This window comes from Homo sapiens, chromosome X (genome assembly GCF_000001405.40).
Source record: "Homo sapiens chromosome X, GRCh38.p14 Primary Assembly".
NCBI classification, from domain to species: Eukaryota; Metazoa; Chordata; class Mammalia; order Primates; family Hominidae; genus Homo; species Homo sapiens.
The window spans coordinates 15,365,268-15,392,679 of record NC_000023.11 but is presented as its reverse complement, the minus strand read 5'-3'; the positions used below and the strand labels follow the sequence as shown (position 1 = coordinate 15,392,679).

Sequence of the window (27,412 nt, the reverse complement as noted above, 5' to 3'; positions counted from 1 at the left end):
CAGCCCTGAGATTGTAGGGAGTAAATCAAGACTTTTGAAGAAACCATTCTACCCTACAGTCCCATTTATTTTTTAAGTTGAAGGCAGGAAAGGGAAACAAATTTCTGTCATGTCAAATACGGTAGTTTTTATTAAATACATGGAAGATTAAGGAATTAATTATTAATTTTATTGAATCCAGTAATCTTCTGGAACTAGTAACATTACAATAATTTCTAATTAAAGAGCTTTGCATTAATAGAAGTATGATATAGTATAATATTGACTTACATATTTAGAAATATGCTATATTATTAGAATTGGGGTGAAGTTTCAAAAATTTTGAAGGCTTCATTTTAAAGTGCGTAATCATTTTGGCTTTGTTTATTGTTTTATTCTAAATAAGATATACCTAAAAGAAGCCTGAAAAGAGATATATAATGTTCAGTTATCTATTAGTGAGTAACCACGCTAAAATTTAGTGGCTTAAAATAACAATCATTTATTATTTCTCCATGTGGTGGGGAGTTCTAATGCCGGTTTCTCTGGGGTCACTCATGTGGCTGGCAGGCTGGGAGCTGGGCTCTGCTGGGGCTGTTGTTTAGAGATGCCTGAGTTCTGCTCTAGGTAGCCCCTCCATTTGGCTAGTTTGGGATTCCTCGCGAGAGGGCAGTCACAAGACAGCTTCCCAGAGAGGGAGCATTTGCTTATGGGAGGAGCTGTGGAAATGAAGATAGGAAAGCAGAAGCTGGGGAATCAGAGAAGTCACCAACCAGTTAATCTGGAATGCCAAGCATATTCAGGCACTAAAATGAGGCCACAAAAGAAGTCTAGTGGAGAAGTCTGTAGTTCTGCAGCTTAGTGTCTAGGGATGGAGCTGCGGCCGTTCTTAGCAGAATTAGCAGTCAGGAAGAAGAGCTGGACATGGCATGCAGGAGGATGAGGACAAGCTAAAGTCTAGCAGCACCTCTGACTACCTGTTACAACTAACCGCCACATTGTCTCAACTTAACTAAGTTACCAGGGCACAAAACACCACATAGAAGTGTATCTAAGTACATATGTAATTCACTTCTGACGGAACTACAGTTCTCCTTAATTTCAAATCAAACACCCATTTCTAACAAATAAAATTACTGAAAAGTGTATATATGTATGATATACGTATGATTTTGATAGATAGGACTCTTACAATTATAACATGTGAATTACTTAAAATACTTAGTTTTATATAATGAAATGATCTAATGATTGTTAAACCAGAAATGCATTTGATTACAAAACAATTCCCCAAACACAGACTTTAGAAAATATATATTTTATGTTTCCTTTTAACTTTTAAAATTAGCAAATTTTTGTAGCAATTTGAAAATAATACAGAAAAGCATAAAGAAGAAAATAAAATTTGCTTTAATTCTCATTATTCAGAAATAATAAATGCTAATATTTTAGTATTTTTAATCCATAGTATATACATACCATTTTGTGATATTTACAAAACTTACAAGACATTATGAACATTTTATTACACACTTAAATATTTGTTGAGAAAATGAATTTTAATAGCCACTTGATAGTTTTTCTTATAAACATATAATTATTTAACCAACCCCTCACTTTTGGAGAAATGTTTTCAATTTCTGCTGTGATAAATAGTGCTACGACAGTGAAATTCCCTTACACTGTATTGCTAAAACTGTCATTACTGGATCGGAGGACATTAGCAATATTGGGGGTTTTGAGTCATATTGTCAAATTGCTCTCTGGAAGGATTACTGCACCAGTTGAAAATCTCCCAAACGATATATGAAAGTGTATTTTTCCCTGTATCCATACTAGCACTGGATATTATGGTTAATATTTTTTCCAGTTTCAGGAAAAAAATTGAATCCTTAATTCTAAGCAAAAACTTTTAGAGACTTTAACGTAATAGGACCCTTTTGGAGGGAAATTTGCTTGAGCAGATGTCCCTTGGATGCTCTGTTTTTATAAGGTTCCATTTAGTGCAATATTTCCGGGGCATATTTTACATTATTAGTAATAATTTTCAAAAGTAACAAAATCTTATTTTGGATTTCCATAACTAATCTTCCCTTTTAAAAATTATATGGTAACTGAGAAATCATAAATCCCATGATAAGCCATTTAATCACATGGTTTGTCGTGAAGATATTTCCAGTTAAAGAAATCTTAATTTAAGTTCTCCTTCTTAAATTTGAGAATGTTAATATTTTGGTGGCTTGGACTTATTCTTGAGTTCTACTTGCTACTAAACAACGTAAGAAATAAACATGTCTATATTGAGTGTTGCACAGAAAATATTTTTGAAAATTATATTCAGAATTAGGAACATCGCCTATTTGGCTAGCATGTCAATTTCAAATTGTTCACAATTTGATCTTCAAAAATAAGCCTGCTTATTGTTTGATGTTTTCTTTGTTAACTTTAGGATCCCAAGAGAAGCCACTTTGTCTTAATTGCTGGGGAGCCATTAAGAGAACCAGTTATCCAACATGGTAAGACCAAAATGACAATGATTTTCTTGGTTGATTTTCCTTTTCTTTGAAAACAGTATACATGTATACTATTGTTGGGAAGAATAGCTGGTTTTTTTTGTCCTGTCTCTCCATCTATAAATCTGAGGATTGTTTAATTTTTCTGTCATCAGAGGGAAATATATATGTGATGTTTATTCATCTCTTTTTTTTTAAAGAAACATTTCTTAGATACCTATTATGTATAGGATATTGAGTTTGGAACTGTGGGAAGAACAAAAATAGTATTTTTGTATTATGTCATAGGGAATTTTAACTTGAAAAAAGAGTCTACAGTCTACTGGGAACTTTAACATCCTTTTTATCTTTATCAAAAATAAAGGTGATTTCAATACTGTCCTGTAGTCTATTGCATTTTTAGTAAAAAATATGAAACTCTTAGGAATAGTATTTTTAAGAAAATAGTTGTTATTTTTTGTTTATTTAAAAAAATGAGTAGAGGTAACTGATATAGCCGAAATAGTACTATACTTAGAGGCAGAAAATCCTGGCTTAAGTACCCATAACGATTACTTCAACTCTTTGGGTTTTGACTTCTTCATATCATTGTTGTTTGATTAAATGAGGAACATCTAAAAGCAATTAAAACCCATTTTATTATTTAGATAAATGCTTACAAAACATATGTCCACTTCACCAATTATTAAATTCAACGTGCATTAAAATCCCATTGCATTTCCCTGCCTTGCATGAATTCCCAGGTACACACAATGATTGCAGATAAACCCCAGCTGCTCATGAATTTAAAGAACACGGATTGCTTTAAAAATATTCTTTTTTGTTCTACTAACTACTTCAGGGGGAACATTAAATTGTACCCTGCCTTGCCTGTAGCATTTGACAACCATTTTGTACGCATCCGATTTCCATTCCAAAGGTTTGTGGTTCTTGTTTCCTTTTCTCTCAACTGAAAAGCACTGCAATATTATAGTTTGTTTTTCTGGAAAAAGCCTTCAGACAAACTGAGTAGGGTCATAATCTTTATTCCTAGTAACTAACATTTAGGTGGGAAAAACATGTGTGAGATGGAAGTCTTATTTTAGGCAATCTCCTCTGTACCAATAATGAAAAGCAAGAGTCTAACTGAATTAGGTGACAGATCAAAGGAGTGGGACTGCTCAAAGCCACCCTACACTGGGGTCATGTGGATCCTCTCCCAGTGGCTTGGAACACAGGGACACTAGGTATGCCTGCACATACAAACTCGGAGTAATCAGACAAAATAAATATGTCCCTTGAAAGTTCAGTTACTGAGAAGCAAAGCATTTTGTTTTTATTTTTTAACTTTTAAAAACTCAGACATTTAAGTTTTTCTTTTACTTATGTGTGTTTAAAGGCAGCCACAACCATCTCTTGATTGGGAACTTGCACAGATCTCATGAATTACCTAAGACCCTTTCTCCTCTTATCATCGTGTGTCCTTAATTATTCATCCACAGATTAAGCACAGGAAATCATAGAATGTTAGGATAGAAAATAACCTTAGCCATGATGTAGTCATGCCTCTTTTATAGATGAGGAAAATAAAATCCAGATATTTTATTTATTTACTTAATGGATGCTTGCATAGAATTTACTATTTCCTAGACATTGGTTAAAGCACTTTCCTAATGTTAATCCGTCTAACCTTCAAAACAACCCTATGAGGTTGGTACTCTCATGCCCATTTTACAGATGAAGAAGCAGAAGGTCAAAGGTTCATTGGCTTACTCAAGGTCACATAGCTGGATTCACACTCAGGCTGTCTGTTTTCCAAACACCCTGCCCTTCTGCCTCTTACCATGCTGGTCGTCCATTGCTCTGCCCTGTAGCTTCTCTAATGGAAAGCGATTGTTAGCAGTGGAGCTGGGACTCGAACCCTAGTCTCCTGACCCCATGTCTTATGTTCGCTCCACTATACCAAAGTTCTACATAACAAGAGGTTAGACACACCATTTTATACAAGAGGGGGGCTTCAGAGGCTTAATTAGAGAAGTGATGAAAGCTATAATTTGAAAGAGAATTATAGGTAACTATCAAATAATTTTCTTGTTCACAACCCTTGTAGTTGATCAATTTAAAAACATGCTTTCTGGATTCAGTTTTCTCCTTGAAGATTTGAGGAGATAAGCTTCATCAGTTAGCTTTAGGGGACTCTAAGCTTCCAATGCTTCCCTGTATAACAGAGGTTATACTTGTTTCCTAAAGTGTGGTCCATGGACCAGCAGTATCAGCATCACTTGGGAGATAGTTAGAAATGCAGAATCTCAGGCCTCACTCCAGACCTCCTGAATCAGAATCTGCATTTTAATAAGATTCCCAGCTGATTCATGTGCACGTTATAAATTGAGAAACATGGCAGACTACCCCAGAAAGTGTCAAAATGGAAGCCTAGAAGCACACCATTCTTACAGAAAACAGTTGGGGGATGGGAGTACTGCTCCACAAGTCCCAACCATAGCAAAATTATGAGGCACAAGAATTTGGTCCTTGACTCAGTACCTGCTCCCATCTTCCAAGTTGCATTTCCCTTTCCCCTGCGTGTCCTTTAAAAAGTTGTCTTCCCCAGGGTACCCTCTTGGGTTTATTGTTTATTCTGCATATGTTAACTCTCTTTTTCTTTCCTACCTGATATAGTCCAAACCTCCATTTCCAGATGAAATTTCTCTCATGAGCTCCAGATCCATAGTTTCAACAATGTACCAAAAACCTCTGCTTGGGAAACCACTTTATTGTCTCTAGTACTTCTATGTTAAAATACTCAGAACTGGGCCGGGCGCGGTGGCTCATGCCTGTAATCCCAGCACTTTGGGAGGTCGAGGCTGGCAGATCACTTGAGGTCAGGAGTTTGAGACCAGCCTGGCCAACATGGTGAAACCCAATCTCTACTAAAAATACAAAAATTTAGCCGGGCATGGTGGCACGTGCCTGTAATCCCAGCTACTGGGGAGGCTGAGGTGTGAGAATTACTTGAACCCGGGAGGCGGAGGTTGCAGTGAGCCAAGATCGCACCACTCACCACTGCACTCCAGCCTGGGCGACAGAGCAAGACTCGGTCTCAAAAAAAAAAAAAAAAAAAAAAAAAAAAAAAAAGAAAAGAAAAGAAAAACAAAACAAAAAATATCCAGAACTGAACACCTTGCTCCATCCAAAGCCTCCCACGTCCTGTATCTCAAATACCCTTAACAATTCCACCATTGACTCAGCCTCCCAAATTAGACACCTGCTCTTCTACCTTGATGCCAAAGTCTTCTTTAAAAATTATAAATCATATTATATTACTCCCTACTTAACCTTACAGTGATTCATAATCACCTGCAAAAGTAGGTCCAAACTTCTTCCTGTAGATTGCATCCAAAGCCCAGAAGGGTCTGGTTTCTTCCTATATTTCAGATCGCCATTTTTTCCGCCTTTGATCCCTCCTTCCACCACTGTACCCCTATCCCCTCCAGTATTCCTCCAGCATACTAAGCCTGAACATGCCTTTCCTCCGTGTGTGACTGCTCAAACATCACTCCCTCTGTGAATCCTTTCCTGGATTTCTCCTCCTCCCCCTTTCTGTGTTGATTTTATAGTTTTTACACTTTTATCCTTCCATATTTCAAACAGTTTTGTAATGATTTCTTTTCATATCTGTGTGATAGATTTGAATCCTTGAGGAGAGGGAGTCTGCCATTTATTTGTCTTTCATCTTTATGTCTCTAGCTTCTAGCACAATGTCTGTCATTTAATGGGCATTCAGTACATAATAGATAGGTAATTGAATGAATGGATTTAGATGCCTGGGTGTTTTCTTTCTACTTGTATTCTATTCCCCACATCCTCTCCAAAGATTTCAGCATCATCAAGACATATTATCCTGTGTCTTCCTTCTGAAGATTTAAATTATAGTGATCACCAAATCCATGTTGATATGATAACAATGGTTAAGAAGTTTGAATATGTTATTTTCTCTAAGCAATACAGTTGTATATTAATCAGAATCTCCCAGAGAAAGCCCCTTAGAGCAGGCAGTTCCATAAAAGGAATGTCAGGAACTTCTGCAGGCTGGATGAGGACATACACTGAGTGAACAAGTCTGTCAACTGCTCTAAAGACACTGTCAATGCCATATAAAAGCTGGCCTTGTTCATCTAGCAGATCATGGGGGTGAGACAGTCCAGTGCCTCTCTGCCCCTACAATATATGAAGAAAGGGGAAGAAACACACATTGCCTCCTGGTAGATTAGGGGAGGACTTCTTGTACATTTTTAGCAAAATCCGAGTTCAGACCCAGCAATTAGACAAAAGGGTCAGCAAACTATGGTCGATGGGCTACATCTGCCCACTGCATGTTTTTGTAAATGAAGTTTTATTGGGACACAGCCATACCTATTCACTTTTGCATTATCTATGGCTGCTTTTGCACTTTGATGAAAGAGTTGAGTAGTTGAGACAGACACTGTTTGACCCACAAAATCTAAAATACATACTATCTAGCCCTTCCTAGCAAACATTTGCCAACCCCTAGAAAACTTTTAAAAAATGATGCTCTTCGACTTGAAATTTTTATAATCTTCTGTTTATTGTCAATAGGTGCTGCTGATTTTCAAAAAATGACTTAGAATCCTCAAATAAGTATACAGCCTTATATGCTGCTTAGACACCAAAGCTATGATAAGATTTGTCAGTTCTTTGTATCAGATGGGTTCAATTCTTGACATCAGCTAATGTTATAAAAATAACTACAAAATTGGTTGTAATAGAACCAAATCTAAGACTCTTTTTAATAAAAAAGATCACCATTGCTGGTGAGAAACCTATACTGAATGGGTGAGATGCCATTGCATTTATCTGAAGTTTCGTCTTTATAATCAATAATCATATACAATCCTAGTCAAGAAACTCATCTTACAGTCCTTGGGGATTGAACACTGTGAAAATAAACTTTTACTCTTCGGATGTGCTTGGATTTTGTTTTAAATTAAGAACTACAGAAATATATATCATTTCTAGTGGTAGAGGAAAATATTGCCACCCAGAACTTTCTGAATGTCTCTTTCTGCCCTAGGTCCATTTGTGATGAACACCAATGAAGAGATTTCTCAAGCTATTCTTGATTTCAGAAACGCAAAAAATGGGTTTGAAAGGGCCAAAACCTGGAAATCAAAGATTGGGAACTAGTGGAAAGCGGAAGAGCAGGTCTTGATGTGTCCTAGAATTTTGCCATTTCTGAGATTGAGCCATTGAAGGCATTCCATTTCTAAAGCTTATTTAGCCGGTGCTTCTAAAGAATTCCACACTAACGTGATAACATGGTTTTTGTAACAATAAATGTAGGATATTTCCTGGCACATGCAAATAAACCTAATCATTGTTTCTTTAAAAATCAGTGTTTTTCATTTGAGATACCTAAGTTACTAAGCTTCTGTTTAAAAAGTCGTTTTGTGTATGTTTGCCTTTTTTTGCATGTATGGATGGATGTTTTTATTATTTTTGTGCATGTGCAGGTTTTAAAAATCATATTTGATTGCTTTCTGTGTGTCATTGGCAGCAGATGCATGAGCATCTGAGGTCCCTTCTTAAGCAATCCCACTGAGATACAAAGGTCAAAGCTATGTGCTGGGGTTTCATGTTACAGGTTATCTGCTTTAAAATAACGGCAGCCCTGAACATTTGAGTCAGTTCTTAAAACTGCCCTGCTATTGGTAGGGACGCAACAGGATTACAGCCAAGACTTCTCTGCATTTTCTGCCAAAATCTGTGTCAGATTTAAGACACATGCTTCTGCAAGCTTCCATGAAGGTTGTGCAAAAAAGTTTCAATCCAGAGTTGGGTTCCAGCTTTCTGTAGCTGTAAGCATTGGTGGCCACACCACCTCCTTACAAAGCAACTAGAACCTGCGGCATACATTGGAGAGATTTTTTTAATTTTCTGGACATGAAGTAAATTTAGAGTGCTTTCTAATTTCAGGTAGAAGACATGTCCACCTTCTGATTATTTTTGGAGAACATTTTGATTTTTTTCATCTCTCTCTCCCCACCCCTAAGATTGTGCAAAAAAAGCGTACCTTGCCTAATTGAAATAATTTCATTGGATTTTGATCAGAACTGATTATTTGGTTTTCTGTGTGAAGTTTTGAGGTTTCAAACTTTCCTTCTGGAGAATGCCTTTTGAAACAATTTTCTCTAGCTGCCTGATGTCAACTGCTTAGTAATCAGTGGATATTGAAATATTCAAAATGTACAGAGAGTGGGTAGTGGTGAATGTTTTCATGATGTTGTACGTCCAGCTGGTGCAGGGCTCCAGTAATGAACATGGACCAGTGAAGGTAGGTGAGCTCAATTTTTAATGTGATGAAGTTCTTTTTATTGGCTCATACAGAGGACTTTCTTTGCCCTCACTATTTTTGAAACAATATAAAAATGCAGAACCATCCTAGTAGTGGACTGGACAGGATATATCCTGCATTTCTTGGTGACTGTTCTGTTTCTTAGTCTTATTAAACTTCTGGCCATGAGTATTTGAAAATGCTGGGGTGGGGGTTGGTTGTTTTTTGAAGTTATGGTAGAACATGAGCAGTCTGGAATCTTTTTGGATGGAGAAGTTTCTCCTCGGTTGCATATGCAGATGGCACAGTGGTTTTTTAATGAAACATTGATTTGTTTTTATGACTGATAACTTTGTGGGCCATTTATTTTCAGGTCTTTGTGAGCAGCAGAGGTTAGTTTATTCGTTTGGTAAATTGAAAATTGCAGTGCTTTCTATGAACATTTTCTATCTGCTTTTGCAAATTACCAATTGCTGCCATCCAGAAAAATGTTTTCTCAGAGAGTGTTTGGTTTTTTCGCTTCTTGAAAGGTGTAAAATTCAACACTAATCAAATCTTTGGTTCTGTGAGCAAGCATCAAATAGAGCTTAACGAACAGAGAGTAATGCAAAAAATTAACCAGAATGTTGCTGACTGCTGGAACAATACTTAGCCCAATTTTATGCATTTCATGGATTATATATATTTTAAGCTTCTATTTTGAAAATGATTCGGATGTAATTGTTTTGACTGAAGTGGTGCTAAATCATTATTGATTTAGGAACTTCTGGCCTTGAAAAGACAATTAAATGTGAGTTTGAGTTTTTGTAGCTGTTGTTTAGGACGTGCATTTTCAACAGGGGTGATATCGCCCCCAGCAGGGGAAAATTGGTTCGTGGAGGGATGAAAAAGTTTTACCCTTTTGATACATCACGCACAGACGTACATACAGTACATATGGTATGTAGTTTAAAATACGTTATACATTCAAATTGCATAGGGGGAAAGTGTCTTCAAAGGCTCCTGGCTGGTGTTGGTGGCCTGGCGAGGGTGGGGGCTGATATTTAAAAATGTTGAACACTGAGCTGGAGGTGAGTGGGAAGTCACCTTGTCTGGCAGCCAGCACTTTTCTAACTTCTCAAATTCCAAATTTACATGGGAGAAATCACAGTGTTTGGCTCCATTTTACTGCCACCAGCCTTGATATTGGATCTCAAGGCCAGATTGTAGGTAAATGGGAATCTGACTGTAAGCATAGGTAACAGGAGAAAACGGTCTGACTTGTTTGAAGCAAGTAAGACTTTTCCGACTGTCCAGCTTTTTCGTAAGTTCATGAAACAGAAATCCTTTAGATGTGCTGGGCTCCTCGAGTTTTAAAATATTTCCATTTTCCTTGTAAAACATCACTTTATCTGATGGTATAATAAAGGAGACTGAATTGTTGGACATAAGTCATATTCTTTAGGTTGCTCAGCTCTTTCAAAGAGCACAAGCACCAAGAATGTCTCAGGTGTCCTGGGCACTGTGAAGTTTTATTTATTTATTTATTTATTTATTTGAGACGGAGTCTCACTCTGTCACCCAGGCTGGAGTGTAGTGATGCAATCTCAGCTCGCTGCAACCTCTGCCTCCCGGGTTCAAGTGATTCCCCTGCCTCAGCCTCTCGAGTAGCTGGAATTATAGGCACGTGCCACCATGCCGGGCTAATTTTTTGTATTTTTAGTAGAGACAGGGTTTCACTGTGTTAGCCAGGATGGTCTCGATCTCCTGACCTGATGATCTGCCCGCCTTGGCCTCCCATAGTGCTGGGATTACAGGCGTGAGCCACCGCGCCCGGCTGGCACTGTGAAGTTTTAAATGCTTTGAATGTACTGTTAATATATAAATTTGTTGAATGGAGTAACGAAGGAAAGCAGCTGAATTTGCATGTGACAGAAAACAAGTTGTTACACGTGGAGGATGCAGCATTATATACTTACTAATACGATTAGCAATTTTTTTTCAGAATATATCAGAATTTCCTTTAAAAAGTGAAGCTACATATACTGAACTTATATCCACCCTACCCCTCGCTCAATTAAATTATTTCTGATATGAAGGAAAGGATTGCCTATAGCTAAACAGAAGTTTTGGCATAGATATGACTGAGTGGTAAGGGATAATGAGATATATAATATTGGTTATAGTTTTCTTTTTTCCCCAACTTTTAAGAAAAGAAAATCTAAGAGGAAATAATGTTTCTAAATGTTAAAGTTCTTCTTGTTAAAATTAAAATGTAGTGTGAAAACATATTCATGGTGGTAATGGTTTAGGGTGGTGGTATTTGAATTTTTTGTTTTTTTTTTTTTACTTTTTGAAATAAAATGTTTTATTTATTATAAGAAATTCATGGTCTTCCTCGGTACTTGGTCCATATGTATTTCTTTCTCCTCACCCTCCCCTCTTCTAACCACCTCTTTTCCAGAATGGATGGTGATGCCAATTTTGCTCCTAGGTTGTCCTCCAGCCACCCCCAGCCCAGTTTTCACTTTCTAGCTTTGAAGATTGTCCAGTTTTCCAGCTTAGACTAGCATTGCCTCTACGATAGTTCTAGGTATCTGTGAAGATTTTTTTTTTTCCTGTAGCAATCATGAAATAGCTACTAGTGCTCTGGACGATTGTGCTTAATGCCATTTGGGTGTAAGGCCTCCTAATTTCATTAGTCTTACCACTTGTGTTTGCAAGGATAGCTGTTTGGAGTCAGCAGTGCATGGAACATGTGAACTGAGACAAATCTGTTTGAAAATCTCAACTTAAGATTTCAAATCCACTGTGTATACTATTTAGCTGTTAAGTTTCTCAGTCTAAGAAGAACACGTTTTCCTCTAGAAATAAGCTTAACCCAGTACCTATGCATCGTTCATTAATATAATCAGATTACGGCCTAGATGTGGAATTTATTTCTGTTTCTATTTTCTCCAGCTTTTTAATACAGCTCAGACAGTCATATACAGTTGTACACGATGTGCACTGCACAACTCTAGGGTGCTCCATGCATATAGACATATCTGTATGTGACAGCCCTAAGTACAATGTGGTAGACACTCTGGACATTTGGTAAATAAGTATCTACATCCTCACTCTTCTCTCATTCACATTGGCCTTCTGGCCAGCACTATTTCTGGTTTATTTAATAAACAATTCTTGTCCCCCAGAAATTCTGTGAGTCTTCTGAAGATGCTGGGGAAAGCCAGCCTTCATAAATCTTTTCAATGTCACTAATGAAGACATGTCACTATTGCAACAAAGGAATACCAGGCCATAGTAGGCTTTCACAACTTTTTTCTGACAGAATTTGTTTCTTTCTGCTTTATCTTCCCTGTGTACTGTCTTTTTTTATCCACCCTCTTTCTTAATTACACTGGTAGAAGAATATTGGTGGGTGATGGAGTCATTCACATTCTGTGTAAGACTAGAATCAGTCCAAGATCCACAGGAATGTGGGATACTTCTTTCATGAGAAGCCACATGGCTCACAAGACTTCTTTACATTTGTGTTACTTGCCTTCTCCTGAAATTGTCTCTACAGTGAATCAAATAACAAGGACTGAGGTGTATTTTCCATATTTAATTCCAGGAAGCAGTCCCACTCCTTCTCCCTGCCCGATTTCCAGTTCCAAAGTCATGTACAGGGAAGTCCATTGACTTTGATGTTGGTCAAATGGCCCAGCAAGCTTTTGTCCACTTTTCTGTCAGACACAGTCCTTGGCACAAAAGACATCTGAAATACTTCCCATTAATTTCTTCTTTATTTATGACCTTGTAGTTAAGTGTGTTGAATTATATGCTTCTATACACATCTGTTTTAATCCAGTTACTCACTTATAACTGGTGACTGAAACTTTTATATCACTATAGCGTATTATTGGTACCCAGGATACAATAGAATCCTCAATATCTTACATCTTCAATATAGTACTTCCTTGTATGACTTATTTCTTAACATAAAAATCCTGTTTTAGACCTGTGGATAAACCTTTACTATAAATCCCAGAGACAATTTCTGGAATGAGAATATAGTATTTGTCCACACACATGATTCCATGTAGAACTTGAGGTAATAAGATCTGGGACTCCCAGATACATTTATTATTACCACAATTGGATAGAGGTGCTACAGAAATAGGCACACAAATGACAGTAAAATTGTTTCTGAGAACATTTCTAGGCTCAACTTTTTTCTACAACTTAGGATGAACAGAGAGAGTGGAAACTGTATATAATTGGGAATGTGACTGAGATGAGACAAAGATGACATGGAAGCATTTCTTCTTCCCTTGCTTTTCTGGTGGTAAGTTCACTCTTCTGTCTTCCTTGCCACTAGTTCTTGCAGTCCCTACCAAGACACTAGGGCATTATACAGCAAACACACCCTGAGGCCCCCTGCTACTGCATCATGAAAGCCTTAGCTGGTTGTGATGTCCTAGTTCATAAAGAATCTGCCTAGTCTCTCATTAGAGCTTTCCAATATTTGACAATTCATTCATTTATTTTTTTCAACAGGTATTTATTGGGCACCAATATATCTAGGCATTGATCTAGGGGCTGGGAATGAAGCAGGAAATAAGTCTAGGGGCTGGGAATGCAGCAGGAAATAAGACAATGTTTCAATTCTCTTGGAATTTGCATTCCAAGTGTGATGGGTAGAGGCAGACAATATGCAAATGTGTAACATGTCAGGTGTGATAAATGCTATGAAGAAAATCAAGTAGGGGGAGCGGATACAGTACTGAATAAATCAGAGGAGACCTTTCTGATTCAGTTATGTCTCTACAGAGTCCTGAAGGTAATAAGAGAGACAGAGGCAACCATCAGTGCAGTGGCCATGGTGGGCGCAGCAAGTTGGCTTCGATGTCTGGGTATTAGCCAGGGAGCCGGTGCAGCTGGAGGTGGGGTGAGTGGAGGCCAGAAGTGCAGTTGTTGAGGTTGGAGAAGTAGCCAGAGAAGATCATGTAAGGTGTGACTGTGCTCCCATAAAACTTTATGGACACTAAAAATTGAATTTTATGTAATTTTCCTGCATCATGAAATTAAAAAAAAAATTGTTTCAACCATTGGAAAATGTAAAAAATTGTTCTTAGCTAACAGGCCATACAAAAACAGGCTGCAGGTTAGATTTGGCCCATGGGTCATAGTTTGGCAATTGTGTTATATATAAATTATTACACTGTTTTATCTTCATCATGGTACACATCCATACCTGACATGTTTTATTTGCCTGTGTATACATTTATTGCTTTGTCACCGTCTACTAGAATACAAGTTTTTTGAGAAAAGGAGCTCTTAATTGTCTTGTTTACTGCAGCATCCCAATCACCAGTGAAAAGCCTGTATGTAATAGAGTAGATACTAAAAACAGTATTTGTTGACTGATTGATGGACTAGACCTCAGGATTTTTAGATACCCAGGATCAGGATATGAACTACTGCATTAAATCATCTCCAACATCTACTCTCATGATGGCTTGTCTGACTTCATGATTTAAAAAAAATTCTAAAGCATTTTTAAGGCAGTATATTCACCCTGTGCTATTTTCCTGTGGGCATAGGATAGGGTTTGTGTGGATGTATCAAAGACTTCTCCACTGTCCTTCCAGGCACAAGCCATCCTATAAGGCGTTCCCTTTTAGGAGCCAGAGGTATAGAAGGAAGTCATCTGAGCCCATTATTCCAGCCTGTTGGTAACAGAAAGAGAGATGAGCAAAGTAGCATTTGGCTGCACAGGGGTCTGGACAAAACTTCAACATCTTGATGTTTTCCTTCATCCCTGAGAGCCTTAGAAATGCTACCTATGCTTTCATTTTATGTTAGGTTGTTTGTAAAATCATGGTAAATTATGGCAAAATACTCTGGTCAGATACTTTATCAGGTTAGGCCAGGATATGCTGTGAAAACAAACACCCCCGAAATCTTGGTGGTTCATAAACAACAGAGACTTATTTATTGCTTATACCACATGACCAGCCTGGTTCATCTGGGGTCAAATCCACATGGGGATGAAGCTGGCTGAGTATCCGATCTTGAATGTTAGGAATCACTATGACAGAGGGAGGGAGAGCCTGAGAGCGCCTCACCCTGGCACTTAAATTCTCTGGCCCAGAAGTGACACATATTACTTCTAGTTGCAGCCCCTTGACCCACTGCCCCATCTAGCCACAAAGGGCCAGGAAGTGCAATCCCACCATGCGCTCAGAAGGCAGAGAGATGGAAATATTTGACAAACCGTATTAATGACTGTGACACATGGTGAGTTCTTCACATTGGTGACTTCTAAGTGCTTCTGAACACACCTTTGACTGTAGAATGTCAAAAACATTCTCAATTTTACAGCAGTGCTGGAAAATGAATTGTATTGAGACAACTTGGGAGGAGTAGAAGGAGATGGAATAAAAAAAATTCACTGATTTCTGTCATGTGTCATGCCTCCTTTAATGCACGGAAGAACGTATACTTTGCTTAGGAAATCACATTACCACATTCAGAACAACTTTAGTGAAGATGGGAAACAACCATGGCTGGTCAATGGGGTAACGTGTGCTGAAGGAAGACAGGTTTATTTCTCAGGAGGCATCTTCTCCCTGGGAAAAGGAAAGACACATATTCATCTCAGTAAATATTTGTGGAATGTCTACCATGTGCCAGGCATATGAGTGGAAATGATGTTTTTATAAAATAAAGATGTCTTAAGTATTTGCATGTCTTACTAACAGTCAGGGAGTTCAACTTGGCCAGTGGGAAGGATAATTTTATGCCTGAAACTTTAGTAATGTAAATTTTTATGCTGATTCTCTTTTTGTCATTCACTGAGTATTCCTAAGTAACTATAACACTCACATATTGGAGATAAGTATTGGTTTCCTGAAATCTAGGTTTGGCTAACATTGCTTCTGGAAAGAGAAAATAACATGTGTTGAATGTCCCTATGGCAAATTCTTGCTGTTACTTACTGTTCCATTATGGAGAGTGTTAGAAAGAGTGTAATTTTGATTGAATGAATATGCTAAAAAAAACACCCTAAATAAGAAACTCACAAAAAGAACAGAGTGGAATGAAAAAGTGAAAACAACTTTGCAATGGTGTGCTTCGTTTATAAGTACATTGTCACAGCAAGACTAGGGATGATTGGGCATCTTAGAGAGTGCAGAGGATGTTGATAAGGAAGAGGAAGAGGAGATAAGTGGATTTTGATATGGGACACTAGATCCTTAGGGAAGAAATGTGAAAGAGGGTATTCTGGGCTGACTGCCGCTGGCATAGCAAGGCTGCTTTGTAGAAGGGACAATAAAGTTTTGCATAAGGATCCTTTTTCCCATCCAATGGATTATGCTATACTTTAGCTGGAATAGGGCTGTAGCAGTTAGCTATTGCCACAATAATGCTGTGTAACAAAGCAGTCCAAATTTCAGTGGCTTAAAACATCACTACCTTATTCTCACTTATGTCTCCAAGTCAGCTGGGAGTCAGAGGATTAAGGCTCAAGGCTTAGGTTTGGTGCAGGTCAGCCCCAGGTGTCTCTCATCCTCCTTTGATCAGTGGGCTAGCAGGAGCATGTGCTTGCAATGATGGTGGAAATAGAAAAACGTGCAATCATATGTGAGTTTCAAGCCTCTCCTTGCATCATGTCTTGTAATGTCCTATTGGTCAGTAGGGCTGGGAAATATATCCCTCCCTCAGAGAGTCAGGAGTGGAAATGAAAATGTTTTTAACAATAGCCTAATCACCATAAAGGCTTTGGGTGGCACACTGGGCCCTTGATCTTGGAGATCAGTGATAGACTGTAACAGACCTCAGAAACCCCTTGGGGTTATTCAGAGCATACTTCTAGAGGGTCTGGGGTTGTCTTGCCATTCAAGCCCATCCCACACCCATCTGCCCCCACATATCCTAAGCACAGTTATGTCAAGTGAGAACAGAGGCATTTGAGTGGAGCACAGATTTCAAACACATAAAGGCAGGGCATGGCCATCTCCCGCAGTGCTAGATGATCTGGCTGGGAGAAAACCACAAGCAGTCTTCATCAAATTGGAGGATGTGGAGGTCCCAGGCATTTAGTCCCCTAGTATGTCCTTAAAAAACCCAGACAGCCATGCACACACACTCACACAAATGCACACGCACACACACATACATTCACACACACACTCTTTTCCTGCATTTGTAGTTCCTTTCCTCAGTCTAAGTTTAATTAAACAACTTGGATTTCATATATATTCATTTAAATATAGAATTGCATAAAGAAAAGAGCCACCAGAACCACCAATGGTAGCATGAGGCCTCTGAAATGAAAGATGAGCCCACCCCAACCTTAAATGGCCAGGTTTCTGGATTTCAGAGAAGCAAGATCAGACCCTTGGCAGGTTCCATCTGAGCAGCCACAGCAGCCATAGCTACAGCAATAATTATTAGCAAGTGTGCGTTCTCCCTGCCCTAGTTAGTACACCCTATACCATCAGGTGTCATCTGTTCTAGTTAAAGTCAGACCGTAATAACAAAACATCAAAATGTAAAATGTGGGTTGTTTTTTTCTTTACACACTTCTAAAGACATTTAAAGCCTGAGCAGATACCTTAAAATTCATCTTCTATCTGAAAATACCTCCTAGAACCATTTTAAAAAGGAGATGGAGGCAAGGTGGAGAGAAAAAGTTTGTCTTTGGTTGACACTGGGAAAGTTGTCTTTTAAAAAATTTTTTAATGTTTATTTACTATGGAGTTGCCGTGTCTTGCTCTTTTCAAGCTCACCTGTCCGGCTTCTAAGGAATATCAGGGGCCCTAAAACACAGACTTCTAAACCCCAACACATAGGACACACCTAAGTGTGGAAAGAAAGGAAAGAGGCAGGAAAGAAAGGAAAGAGGAAGGAAAGAAAGGAATGCAACATTTATTGTGTGCCTACCATATACCTGACCCTTTCCTACATATGACCACATATGATCTCTTCATGAGCTTTATGAGGTGACCTATTATTAACAATGCTGCTTTATAAATGAGGAAACCAAGCCTTAAGGAAGTCAAATACCATATCCTCAGTCAAATAGCTAAAAAAAAAAAAAGAAAAGAAAAAGAAAAGGTAGTGCCTGGATTCAAAGACAGCTTATTTTTTTAACTTATAGAGTAAAATGGATTTTTTCCCTTTTGGTGTGTAGTTCTATGAATTCTAACACATGTATAGATTTATATAACCACAACCATAATTAGGATACGGAACTATTCCATCACCCCCCAAAAATTCACTTACGTTATCCTTTTACAGTCAGACCTTCCTCCCAGCCTCCCAACCTCTGGCAATCACTGATCTGTTCTCCTTCACTGTCGTTTTGTATTTTTGGTTCGCTGTCATTTTGGTTTTTTGGGAATGTCATATAAATGGAATCATACAGTATGTAGCAGTTTGAGATTGGCTTCTTTCACTCATACTGCCTTTGAGATTCTACCAGTGTCCCAGTAGTTCATTCCTTTTTATTGCTGAGTAGTATTACATCGATTGCTGAACCGTTCACCCATTGAATGACACATAAGTTGTTTCTAGTTTTTTGGCTATTGTGAATAAAGCTACTACAAACATTCATGTACATGTATTTATGTGAACATAAGGCTTCATTTATCAAGGGTAAAATCCCCAGAAGTAGGACTGTTGGGTCATATGGTGAGCATATGTTTATAAGAAACTGCAAACACATTTTCCAGAGTGTTATACCATTCAAAGCCAGTTTTGAACAATTCAAATCTATGCTTTTTCTTTCCAGTAAGCTGTTTCTCCAGACGACAGAGTGGTTTACTATATTAGGCAAAGCTTCATCTTGGGGAATGTTATTTCCAACTGAGAGCTATGGGAGGCAAAGTCACAAACCTTCAGCTCAGACTCACCAATCTAACTTGATCTGGGAAGATACCTCGACAGGTGGGGGAGGGAGAACATCTGCTGAGGAAGGCCGGGAGTGGAGTGAGACATTGCTACTTGGACCCCAAAACCAGGAAAAATTTGGTGGTTTTGGTTGAGCTTGAACCATCAGGTTAAACAGGAAATGCAAAATGCTCTTCCAGTGAAACAGAAGAAGCTGCTAAGAGGTAGAGGGAACATGGAACTATTTGTATTGCAACCGAATCCACCTCCCCAAACCCACTGCAAAGGGAAATTGCTGACTGCAATGTCCCTGAACTCCAGGGTGAGTAAGAAGAGAACCACGCCCCCCAGGGAACACTTGTAAATTTTTAAGCAAATCTAGGGAAAGTTGTGTAAAATGTGTCCCTTCCATAACTCACCCTAAAGCTTCTGGGTATTCTAAATATACAAATTCTATTCATCACACCGTTTTATCACCAAGCTTCCTGAAGGCATATTGCCAACACAATTTGACAAAGAAAATAGCACCAACAGCTTTTTAAAGCCTTGGAAGGATAGTCTCAGACCCATGGCTCTCTAGAGGTCCAGGGATGAATCTAGCAAAGCTGGCCTCCTTTTCCATATATATAGAACAAGAGGATTGTTAATAGCATGGGATTGGAATGGCTCAAGAAAAGCTTTTTGAAGCTCTTTGAGAAAAGTAGCCAGGGTCCCCCCTTAAACCTTCTTTGCTGATGGCCTTACAGCTCAAAACCAGCATTGGAACCGGCTAGGTACTCCCAAACCAAAGCCTCTTCCACTTGGCATGTATATTTATATTCTCATATCTTCTTTCAAATACCTTTCAGTGTTGCCTTTTGAAAAGATTATAATTTGTACTTTTTTGTTGAATTCAGTAGGTTAAAGCAGTACCTATTATCTTTAATTTTATTTTGAAAAATTGGTTGGTTTGGCTTTTGGGGAATTTGAGAGGCAATTTAGTCTGTCATTTAGGATGGCATCATATAAGGCAGCCAACTTCATCATGCTATTTAGCCTGAAAAGCGATATTGTTGATCTTCAACCTTGAAAAAGTCGTACAGGTTGGGAGCTGACCTGCAAATGGTCAGGTATCTTGAGATAGGAAAAGGATTTACAAATCCAGGTCAGCAAGATACTCATACAAATATTTTGAACCCAAGGTATACATCAAATAGATTTAAAGACTAAGACTATTTCTGAGCATGCATCGACTGTTTGAAGACTAGTGGACTTGTATGAAGTTCAGGAGTTAACCTGGGTCTTGTAACTTAAAAACAGCATTTCTCATGCCCTAAATTAGTAGTAGAGAGACAATATAGAGAGTTCCTATATAGCCCTCACCTATCTTCCTCTAAGGCTAACACCTGGGAAGTTTTTTTTTAAAAAATCCTGATGGCAAAGCTGCAGCCCAGACCCAAAAAATGAGAATCTGTGAGATTTAAGATTCGAGCATCAGTATTTCTTTGAAGCTTATTCCCAGGTAGATTCAAGAAGAAGCCAAGATTTTGAATGCCTGCTTTATTATTTTTTTTTTTGTGAGAGCTTTAATGGCACAAAATGTTTATAGCTACAAGTTATACATGTATTGTAAATTGTATATAACGATACAAAGTGCTAACTAAATAGATGGAGAACGCATAACCACTTTGGCTCAGTTAATCCAATAATTTCCACAATGGGTTCATGAAAAACCTCATCTGACTGGCTAAGTCTTCAATTCTCATTTTTTTAGAATAGTAAATATTTTTACTGCAATCACAGGAACTTGTTGCGCTTTCCAATGTGCAAGTTTCTGCAGTTTTGCTCTTGATTCTATTTACAAATATCTTAAGCCAGTTTTCATCAAACATATGAAAAATGAAGCCTGCCTTTTTGTCCCCAAATTGTAAATAGGTGTAAATCTTTTTAAGCATCAATCTCACAATTTCAACAGTTAATTGTTGAATTCTCCTTTCCAATACACGATGTTTTCGTTCAACACAAATCTGGGTAGTAGTAAAATGTTCATCCCGTGTGTTAGGGCTACAGATACATACTACGTGCTCTCATAATAAATTTTACTGTTATGATGTATTCATTTTTTAAGTAATTTTCCATAATTTCACTGATGCTTTAAGAAAAAGAGCAACACTATGTTTCTTTTTAACGTTGAAAGAAATCATAAATATACCCAGGTTCAATGGCGCTACTGATAGAACTGCTGCTGAATTTGGAATGAGCACAATGCACTAGCTGTAAGAAGTCAGTTTTGGGTAATGAATAATTTTACTTTTCCCTCCTGTAATACCAATTTCATACTGTAGCAGTTTATCTAGTCAGTTCTCCTAACTTTCTGTCCTTTCCAATTTTATTCAGGCTTTTCAAAAATCAGTGAGCCATCAGATTTACTTTCTTCCCAAAGAAATTCAAATATGAATGCTTGAAATAAATAGGTTATAGAAGGCAAATCAAGTGTTATCAGGTTTAAGATTAAGACAGAAACATGGTCTAATAAAAAGATGTCCAAAATTATCTAGACATCAAATGCTAGAAAGAAAAAAGAAAATTACTTGCAAAACTATTTAGGATATATCATCTTTCTTAAAGATTGCCAGCTATATTCTTGAAAAAAAGATAAAAATTTTCTTGTTTAACCTGCATGTTATTTTCCACTATAACATTAATTTTACAAATGTTGATGTGAGAGAGAAGAGTTAGATAGTTTCTGCAAACTGGCAAACCTGGCTGTGATAGTGTTTTTATTCAAGTTAACCTGGTGCACTTTATAGATTGCTAGCTTTAAAATTAACAGTGTGAACCCCTGCTTTAAACCCTTCTCAAAGTGCAGTCAGCCAATCAACAGTATTGCCATCACCTGGGAACTTGTTAGACCCCACTTTGTCAAACTCATTTCCTGGTATGACAATGAATCTGGCTACAGCAACAGGGTGGTGGACCTCATGGTCCACATGGCCTCCAAGGAGTAACACCCCAGGACCATCAGCCCCAGTGAGAGCACGAGAGAAAGAGAGAGGCCCTCAGCTGCTTGGGAATCCCTGCCACGCTCAGTCCCCACCACACTGAGGATCTCCTCTCCTCACAATTTCCATGCAGACCCCCTGAAGAGGGAAGGGCCTAGGGAGCCCCACTTTGTCATGTACCACCAATAAAGTTCCCTGTACTCAGCCAAAAAAAAAAGAAAGAAAGAAAAAAGAAAAAGAAATGCAGCATCCTGTCTTGCCCCAAACCCACTGCGTCAGAATCTGCATTTTAACAAGATCCCCAGGTATGCACATTAAGTTTTGAGAGGCAGTACTACATATAAAATATGCAACAGACCACACAAACCTGGGCCCAATTGCTATTTGTCAGATACATGTATGTATTTATTACTTATAAATTCCTTCATCAGATATGTATTACGTGCTTATTACTTTAAAAAGATGAATCTGACACATATCCTACCCTCAAAGAGATCTCAGTCTAGGAAGGGAAATACAATGTGTTCATAAATAATATAGTCTAAGTTAGGGACTTCATAAAATGCTTGATGGAAGAAGTGGCATTTATTTTGGACCTGGAATGAGAACTGAAAGAAGATATTCAAAAGACAAGTGATGTAGTGATGTAGTTTTGAATACACGAATAATCTCAGGGTTACTTTTTCTATAGCTTTTGGTGAATCAAGTTGTTTATTCATACATTTAATAAATATTTATTCAGCTCTTACTATTGCTATAAGACAGATACCATTACTGCTCAGGTGGTTTTTACAACCTAGTGGGGAAGACAAGCAGATAACAAGAAATGACACAATTCATTAGTGTTACTGGTAGCGTTGTGAAGGACAAGGATGGGGTGCTAGAAATCCATGTGACGGACCAGACCTAGGCAGGGGTGGGAGTTATGGAGGAGGTTTCCCTGAGTAGGTAACATCTAAGCTGAGAAAGATTTAGTTAGACAAAGAGTGAATGGCATTCCAGGCAAAGGAAACAGCATGGACTAAGGTCAAAACAAGAAGAAATGAACGAAAGAGCAAGTTGATAAAATGGATGTCCAATAATATTCCATTGTTCAACTATGCAACATTTTTCATTGCCTCCCAAATTGGATCAAAGTAGCCTGGTCTTCATGCCTCCAGTCCTTCCTCTTTTTAAAAATTTTATACAACTATATTAATATAGAATTTACATACTATAAAATTTCATTCAAGTATATTAGGAAATTTACTGAGTTGTATAGCTATCATCCATATAAGGTCCGTTATGTCCCTTTGCAATGAACCCTCCATTCTCACTCCCAGCCTCAGGCAGCCAATAATCTATTTTCTGTCTCTAGGGGCTGGAAACTTAGGATTGGAATTAGTTGGTTGTATAATAAATTTAGCTTATTAGAGAACTGCTGAACTCTTTTCCAAAGCAACAATACAATTTTACAGTTTCATCAGCCTTGTGTGAGGGTTCCTGTTGCTCCATATCCATTACAACACTTGGTATTGTCAGTCCTTTTGTTTATAGCCATTCTACTGGGTGTGAAGTGGTATCTCATTTCACCAGCCCCTCTTCCTAACTTATTTGCCAGATTCCCCACTTCTAAACTTGCTCTATGCCCAACCAAAGTGAACCCCTTGCTGTTTTTTTTTTCCCCTGAGGCTCGTTGATATCCCCAAATTATGCCTTTCTTCATTCTTTGAATGTGTTACTTGACTGGATATGTATTTTTGGTGAAGGAGAGGGGCTGGAAATTGAGAGATGAAATTGGTAGGAGTACAGAAGGCCGTTGACTTCCTCACAACGTGGGACACTTCCAAGTTTCTCCTACAAACCCCACCACTATACCTTTCCAAATATCTTGCCTGCCATCTTGGTCACCCGTGACCTAAATTAATACTTAGGAAGCTATGGAGATGCTCATGCTTCCTCAGGGGAGAATGCTGTGTGAACTTAGAAATTAGCAAAAGGGGAAATGACTACCCTTGAAATTGTACCACAGAAAGGAGCATACATTCAAATGATGGTGAAGTCTTATTAAAAAGACTTTAAGCCTCCCAATTTAGAAGCTGGCTTGTGGTAGCCAAGAAATTAGAGAATGATTTGTTATTTAAGAGTGAAATTGCTAGTAGTCTTGAATTAATTACCATAAAAAAGCTGCCGCTGTAATAAAAAGCAGAGATCTGGTAACCCTGCTTCATTCACTTTCTTCCTCTTGATGAAAACCTTTTAATTATTTTGATTTTGATTAGCACTTCCATCAGAAAATAGGAAGAAATTAGGAGCAATTTACTTGGCAAAGGTTTAGTAATTAAAACCACTGAAATCAATGGTTTAAGTATGTATTTGGGATAAACACATTTTTAATTGTTATTTTTGTCTTACCCAAGTGGATAACATAAAGTTCATTATACAAAAATCAACCAGTGCAGAAAGCCGATTGGGAACAAACAACCATTCTTGAACCCTTTGAAAATGTATGCCCTTGATGAATTACTTGTCAGGTTTCTACTTAAGTTTAATTGTTAGTACTTCCACTTAAAATAGCAAAATGACTGTCTGCAATTTCTGTTATTTCAAACTAGGTTTTAAATTCTGGGGTTGAAAGTAAGCTTAAATAACTCTGAGTACTTGAGTAAACACTGCATTTTTTATGATGAGGCAAGTTGTATGAGCCATTTAATTACTTTAATTCAATCCAGAGATTTGATATTTTCTCCTGAGTTCTCACAGTTGGATAGTTTAAAAATATTTCTAAGATTGAATTGAATCCTGTAAGAACTATAATAAAACCATACATCTGCCTGTTTTCTTTCTTTCTCTTTCTCTCCTTTCTTTTCTTTCTTTCTTTCTCTTTCTCTCCTTTCTTTCTTTCTCTTTCTCTCCTTTCTTTCTTTCCTTCTTTTCTTTCTTTCTTTCTTTTCTTTCTTTCTTTCTTTCTTTCCTTTCTTTCTTCTTTCTTTCTTTCTTCTTTCCTTTCTTTCTTTCTTTCTTTCTTTCTTTCTTTCTTTCTTTCTTTTTCTTTTTCTTTCTTTCTTTCTTTCTTTCTTTTTCAAGATCGTGCTCCATTGCCCAGGCTGGAGTGCAAGTGGCGAGATCATGGCTCACTGCAACCTTGACCTCCCCAGGCTCAGGTGATTCTCCCACCTCAGTCTCCTGAGTAGCTGGGAGTACAGGCATGCACCAGCATGTCTGGCTAATTTTTGTATTTTTAGTAGAGACAGGGTCTCACCATGTTTCCAGTCTGATCTTGAACTCTTGGGCTCAGGCAATCCTCCCACCTCGGCTTCCCAAAGTGCTGGGATTACAAGTGTAAGCCACCATGCCTGGCCTTGTATTTTTGGATAATATTGAGTGAAATTTGCCTCAATACATAAAAATCCTTTCAATATGCTTCAACTCTAAAATCTTTAAAAAGCTGCTTGGTTTCATTATTTTCACGTGGAAGCAGCATTGTCACAAAGTTTTATTTTGAAGACTGAATTGTATATGGAGTACTGTCCAACTAGAAGAGAATGAATAATCAGGAAAAGAGAGACTATTGACAAATAAGACTTAATGGAGAAGCATTGAATTTCAAAGCTGCCAGAGACATTAGCAATTGTTCAGTTTCATCTCCAGATTTCTTAGATGAAGAAGCTGTGGCAAGCCAATTTCACAAACCCGATCTATGATCCTCATGCTCCCCACTCCTCTCACTCCCACAATTTTGCCTTGATTCAAACTTTATCGAAAAGTGAGAAATCACAGGTATGAGCTCACTGAGCTTCCCAGGCAGTCTTGCCATCTACAAACCCATGTCATTCTGTATTTTCCTCTTGTTTCTGACAGTGATCCTCTCATCTAGTCACACTACATCCACTTATCTCTGGCACTTATGTCAAAACAACCCCTCTAGGTCCTGCCTTAGCTCTCCTGCATATGCTTTTTCTTTCTTCCTGTCTGTTGCCTCTTTCCCCCAGCTTATAATTCTCCCGCTTTTATTAAAAACATGCACCCACAGACACACACTCACATCTGGATTCCCAAGTGCGATAACCTTGTAGATTCATATTTTCAGATCGTTCTTAGTCCACAGAATATAAAATTGATTGAATGATGGCAAACATCTGCAGATGACAATCATTTACAGAAATGGCACTAAAGCCATGAAGCTGAAGCTGCAGGACTTATGGATCTGGGCTAGAAGACAGGGGCCATCAAAAATTTAGCTTCAGTTGGAAATCGGCTCTTTTAGTGCACTACATCAGATCCATGAAAGAGGAAGGAAGAGTTACTGCTCATTGCTGCCTGGAGCTGTGACTTCTATGAAATTACTTAACGGGGCAAAGGAGGAAGCAGATACTTCCTTGCAACTAGGACGTGAGCTGAGCTGATCCCTGAATCATAAATACTCAACAAGATTCGGATTCAGGACCCAGGGTATTATGGGGTACAACCATAAAACTTCTAAATGTTGGAGAAAGAATAATGAGAAAGAAAAATGAATCTCTGAATGAAAATGGAACTACTAACCAAAATTCCAAATCACGTTAATATAATTATTACTAAGAATGACAGCAACAAAATGAATAATCAGTATATGTCATACCTATAAAGTTAAAATCTAAAATAATTTGAAGAAATACTTAAAAATATTTGCAACCCTCAAAGAGATAAAGAAATAATATTCATAAAATTGAAATGACAAACTAGGGGCAGGGCGCAGTGGCTCACGCCTGTAATCCCAGCACTGTGGGAGGCCGAGGTGGGTGGATCACAAAGTCAGGAGATCGAGACCATCCTGGCTAACACGGTGAAACCCTGTCTCTAATAAAAATACAAAAACAAAATTAGCCGGGCGTGGTGGTGGGCGCCTGTAGTCCCAGCTACTCAGGAGGCTGAGGAGGGAGAATGGCGTGAACCCGGGAGGTGGAGCTTGCAGTGAGCCGAGATCGCGCCACTGCACTCTAGCCTGGGCAACAGAATGAGACTGGGTCTCAAAACAAACAAACAAACAAACAAACAAACTAGGAAGAATATACAGAAATGTAACAGAAAGTAGATAGGAAGAAGAATGAAGTAGAAATGCTTGAAATTAGAAATACGGTGATTGAAATTAAAACCTTAACAAAGTAAACTCTAGACTCACAACAATTGGAGAGTTGGTGATTGGAAAGATGAACCAATTAATTTACCCATAACACATTAGAGAGAGGTGAAGAGGAAAAAATAGCTAAATATAAAAGCACATTTAAGAGACATGTAAGATGATTAAAAGCCTCCAACATTTTTCAAAAAAGAGAGTAGAGGCAATATTATAGGTGGAATAATGAAAATGATAATGGCTGAGAATATTAAAGAATTGAGAATAAAAAAGACAAGTGGCCTCAGATTGAAACTGCCATGAAGGTCTCTGTCTCAAATTCTCAACTCTGCTTTTGTAGTATGAAAGCAGCCGTAGACAATAAGTAAATGAATGGACATGGCTGTGTGTCAATACAACTTGATTTACAAAAACAGGCAGGCAGCAGGCTAAATTAGGCTGGGAGGTCATAGTTTGACAGCTCTTGATCTAAAGAATAACCATTGTTGGCCAGGCGCAGCGGCTCATGTCTGTAATCACAACACTTTGGGCGGCCAAGGCGAGCAGATCACTTGAGCCCAGGAGTTCAAGACCAGCCTGCGCAACATGGCGAAACCCCATCTCTACTAAAAGTACAAAAATTAGCCGGGCATGGTGGCAGGCTCCTGTAGTC

General features: G+C 38.2%; 2 protein-coding genes and 1 long non-coding RNA gene across 4 annotated transcripts in view; all 3 read left to right on the top strand.

Annotated features, from left to right (window-relative positions):
* The window catches only part of PIR (pirin), a 108,535-nt gene extending 100,654 nt beyond the window's left edge, over window positions 1–7,881 (top strand). For both annotated transcript variants that reach the window (NM_001018109.3, NM_003662.4), the window contains exons 9-10: window positions 2,429–2,495; window positions 7,564–7,881. In NM_001018109.3, coding sequence (NP_001018119.1) covers window positions 2,429–2,495; window positions 7,564–7,676 — 180 coding nt within the window. In that variant the 3' untranslated portion in view covers window positions 7,677–7,881. The remainder of the gene's footprint in view (window positions 1–2,428; window positions 2,496–7,563) is intronic.
* The window catches only part of PIR-FIGF (PIR-FIGF readthrough), a 145,719-nt gene that overhangs the window by 98,630 nt on the left and 19,677 nt on the right, over window positions 1–27,412 (top strand). The window contains exon 9 of the long non-coding RNA NR_037859.2: window positions 2,429–2,495. This is a non-coding gene — a long non-coding RNA (PIR-FIGF readthrough). The remainder of the gene's footprint in view (window positions 1–2,428; window positions 2,496–27,412) is intronic.
* The window catches only part of VEGFD (vascular endothelial growth factor D), a 38,818-nt gene continuing 19,672 nt past the window's right edge, over window positions 8,267–27,412 (top strand). Inside the window, exon 1 of the mRNA NM_004469.5 lies at window positions 8,267–8,823. Within this exon, the coding sequence (NP_004460.1) occupies window positions 8,734–8,823 (90 nt within the window). The 5' untranslated portion in view covers window positions 8,267–8,733. The remainder of the gene's footprint in view (window positions 8,824–27,412) is intronic.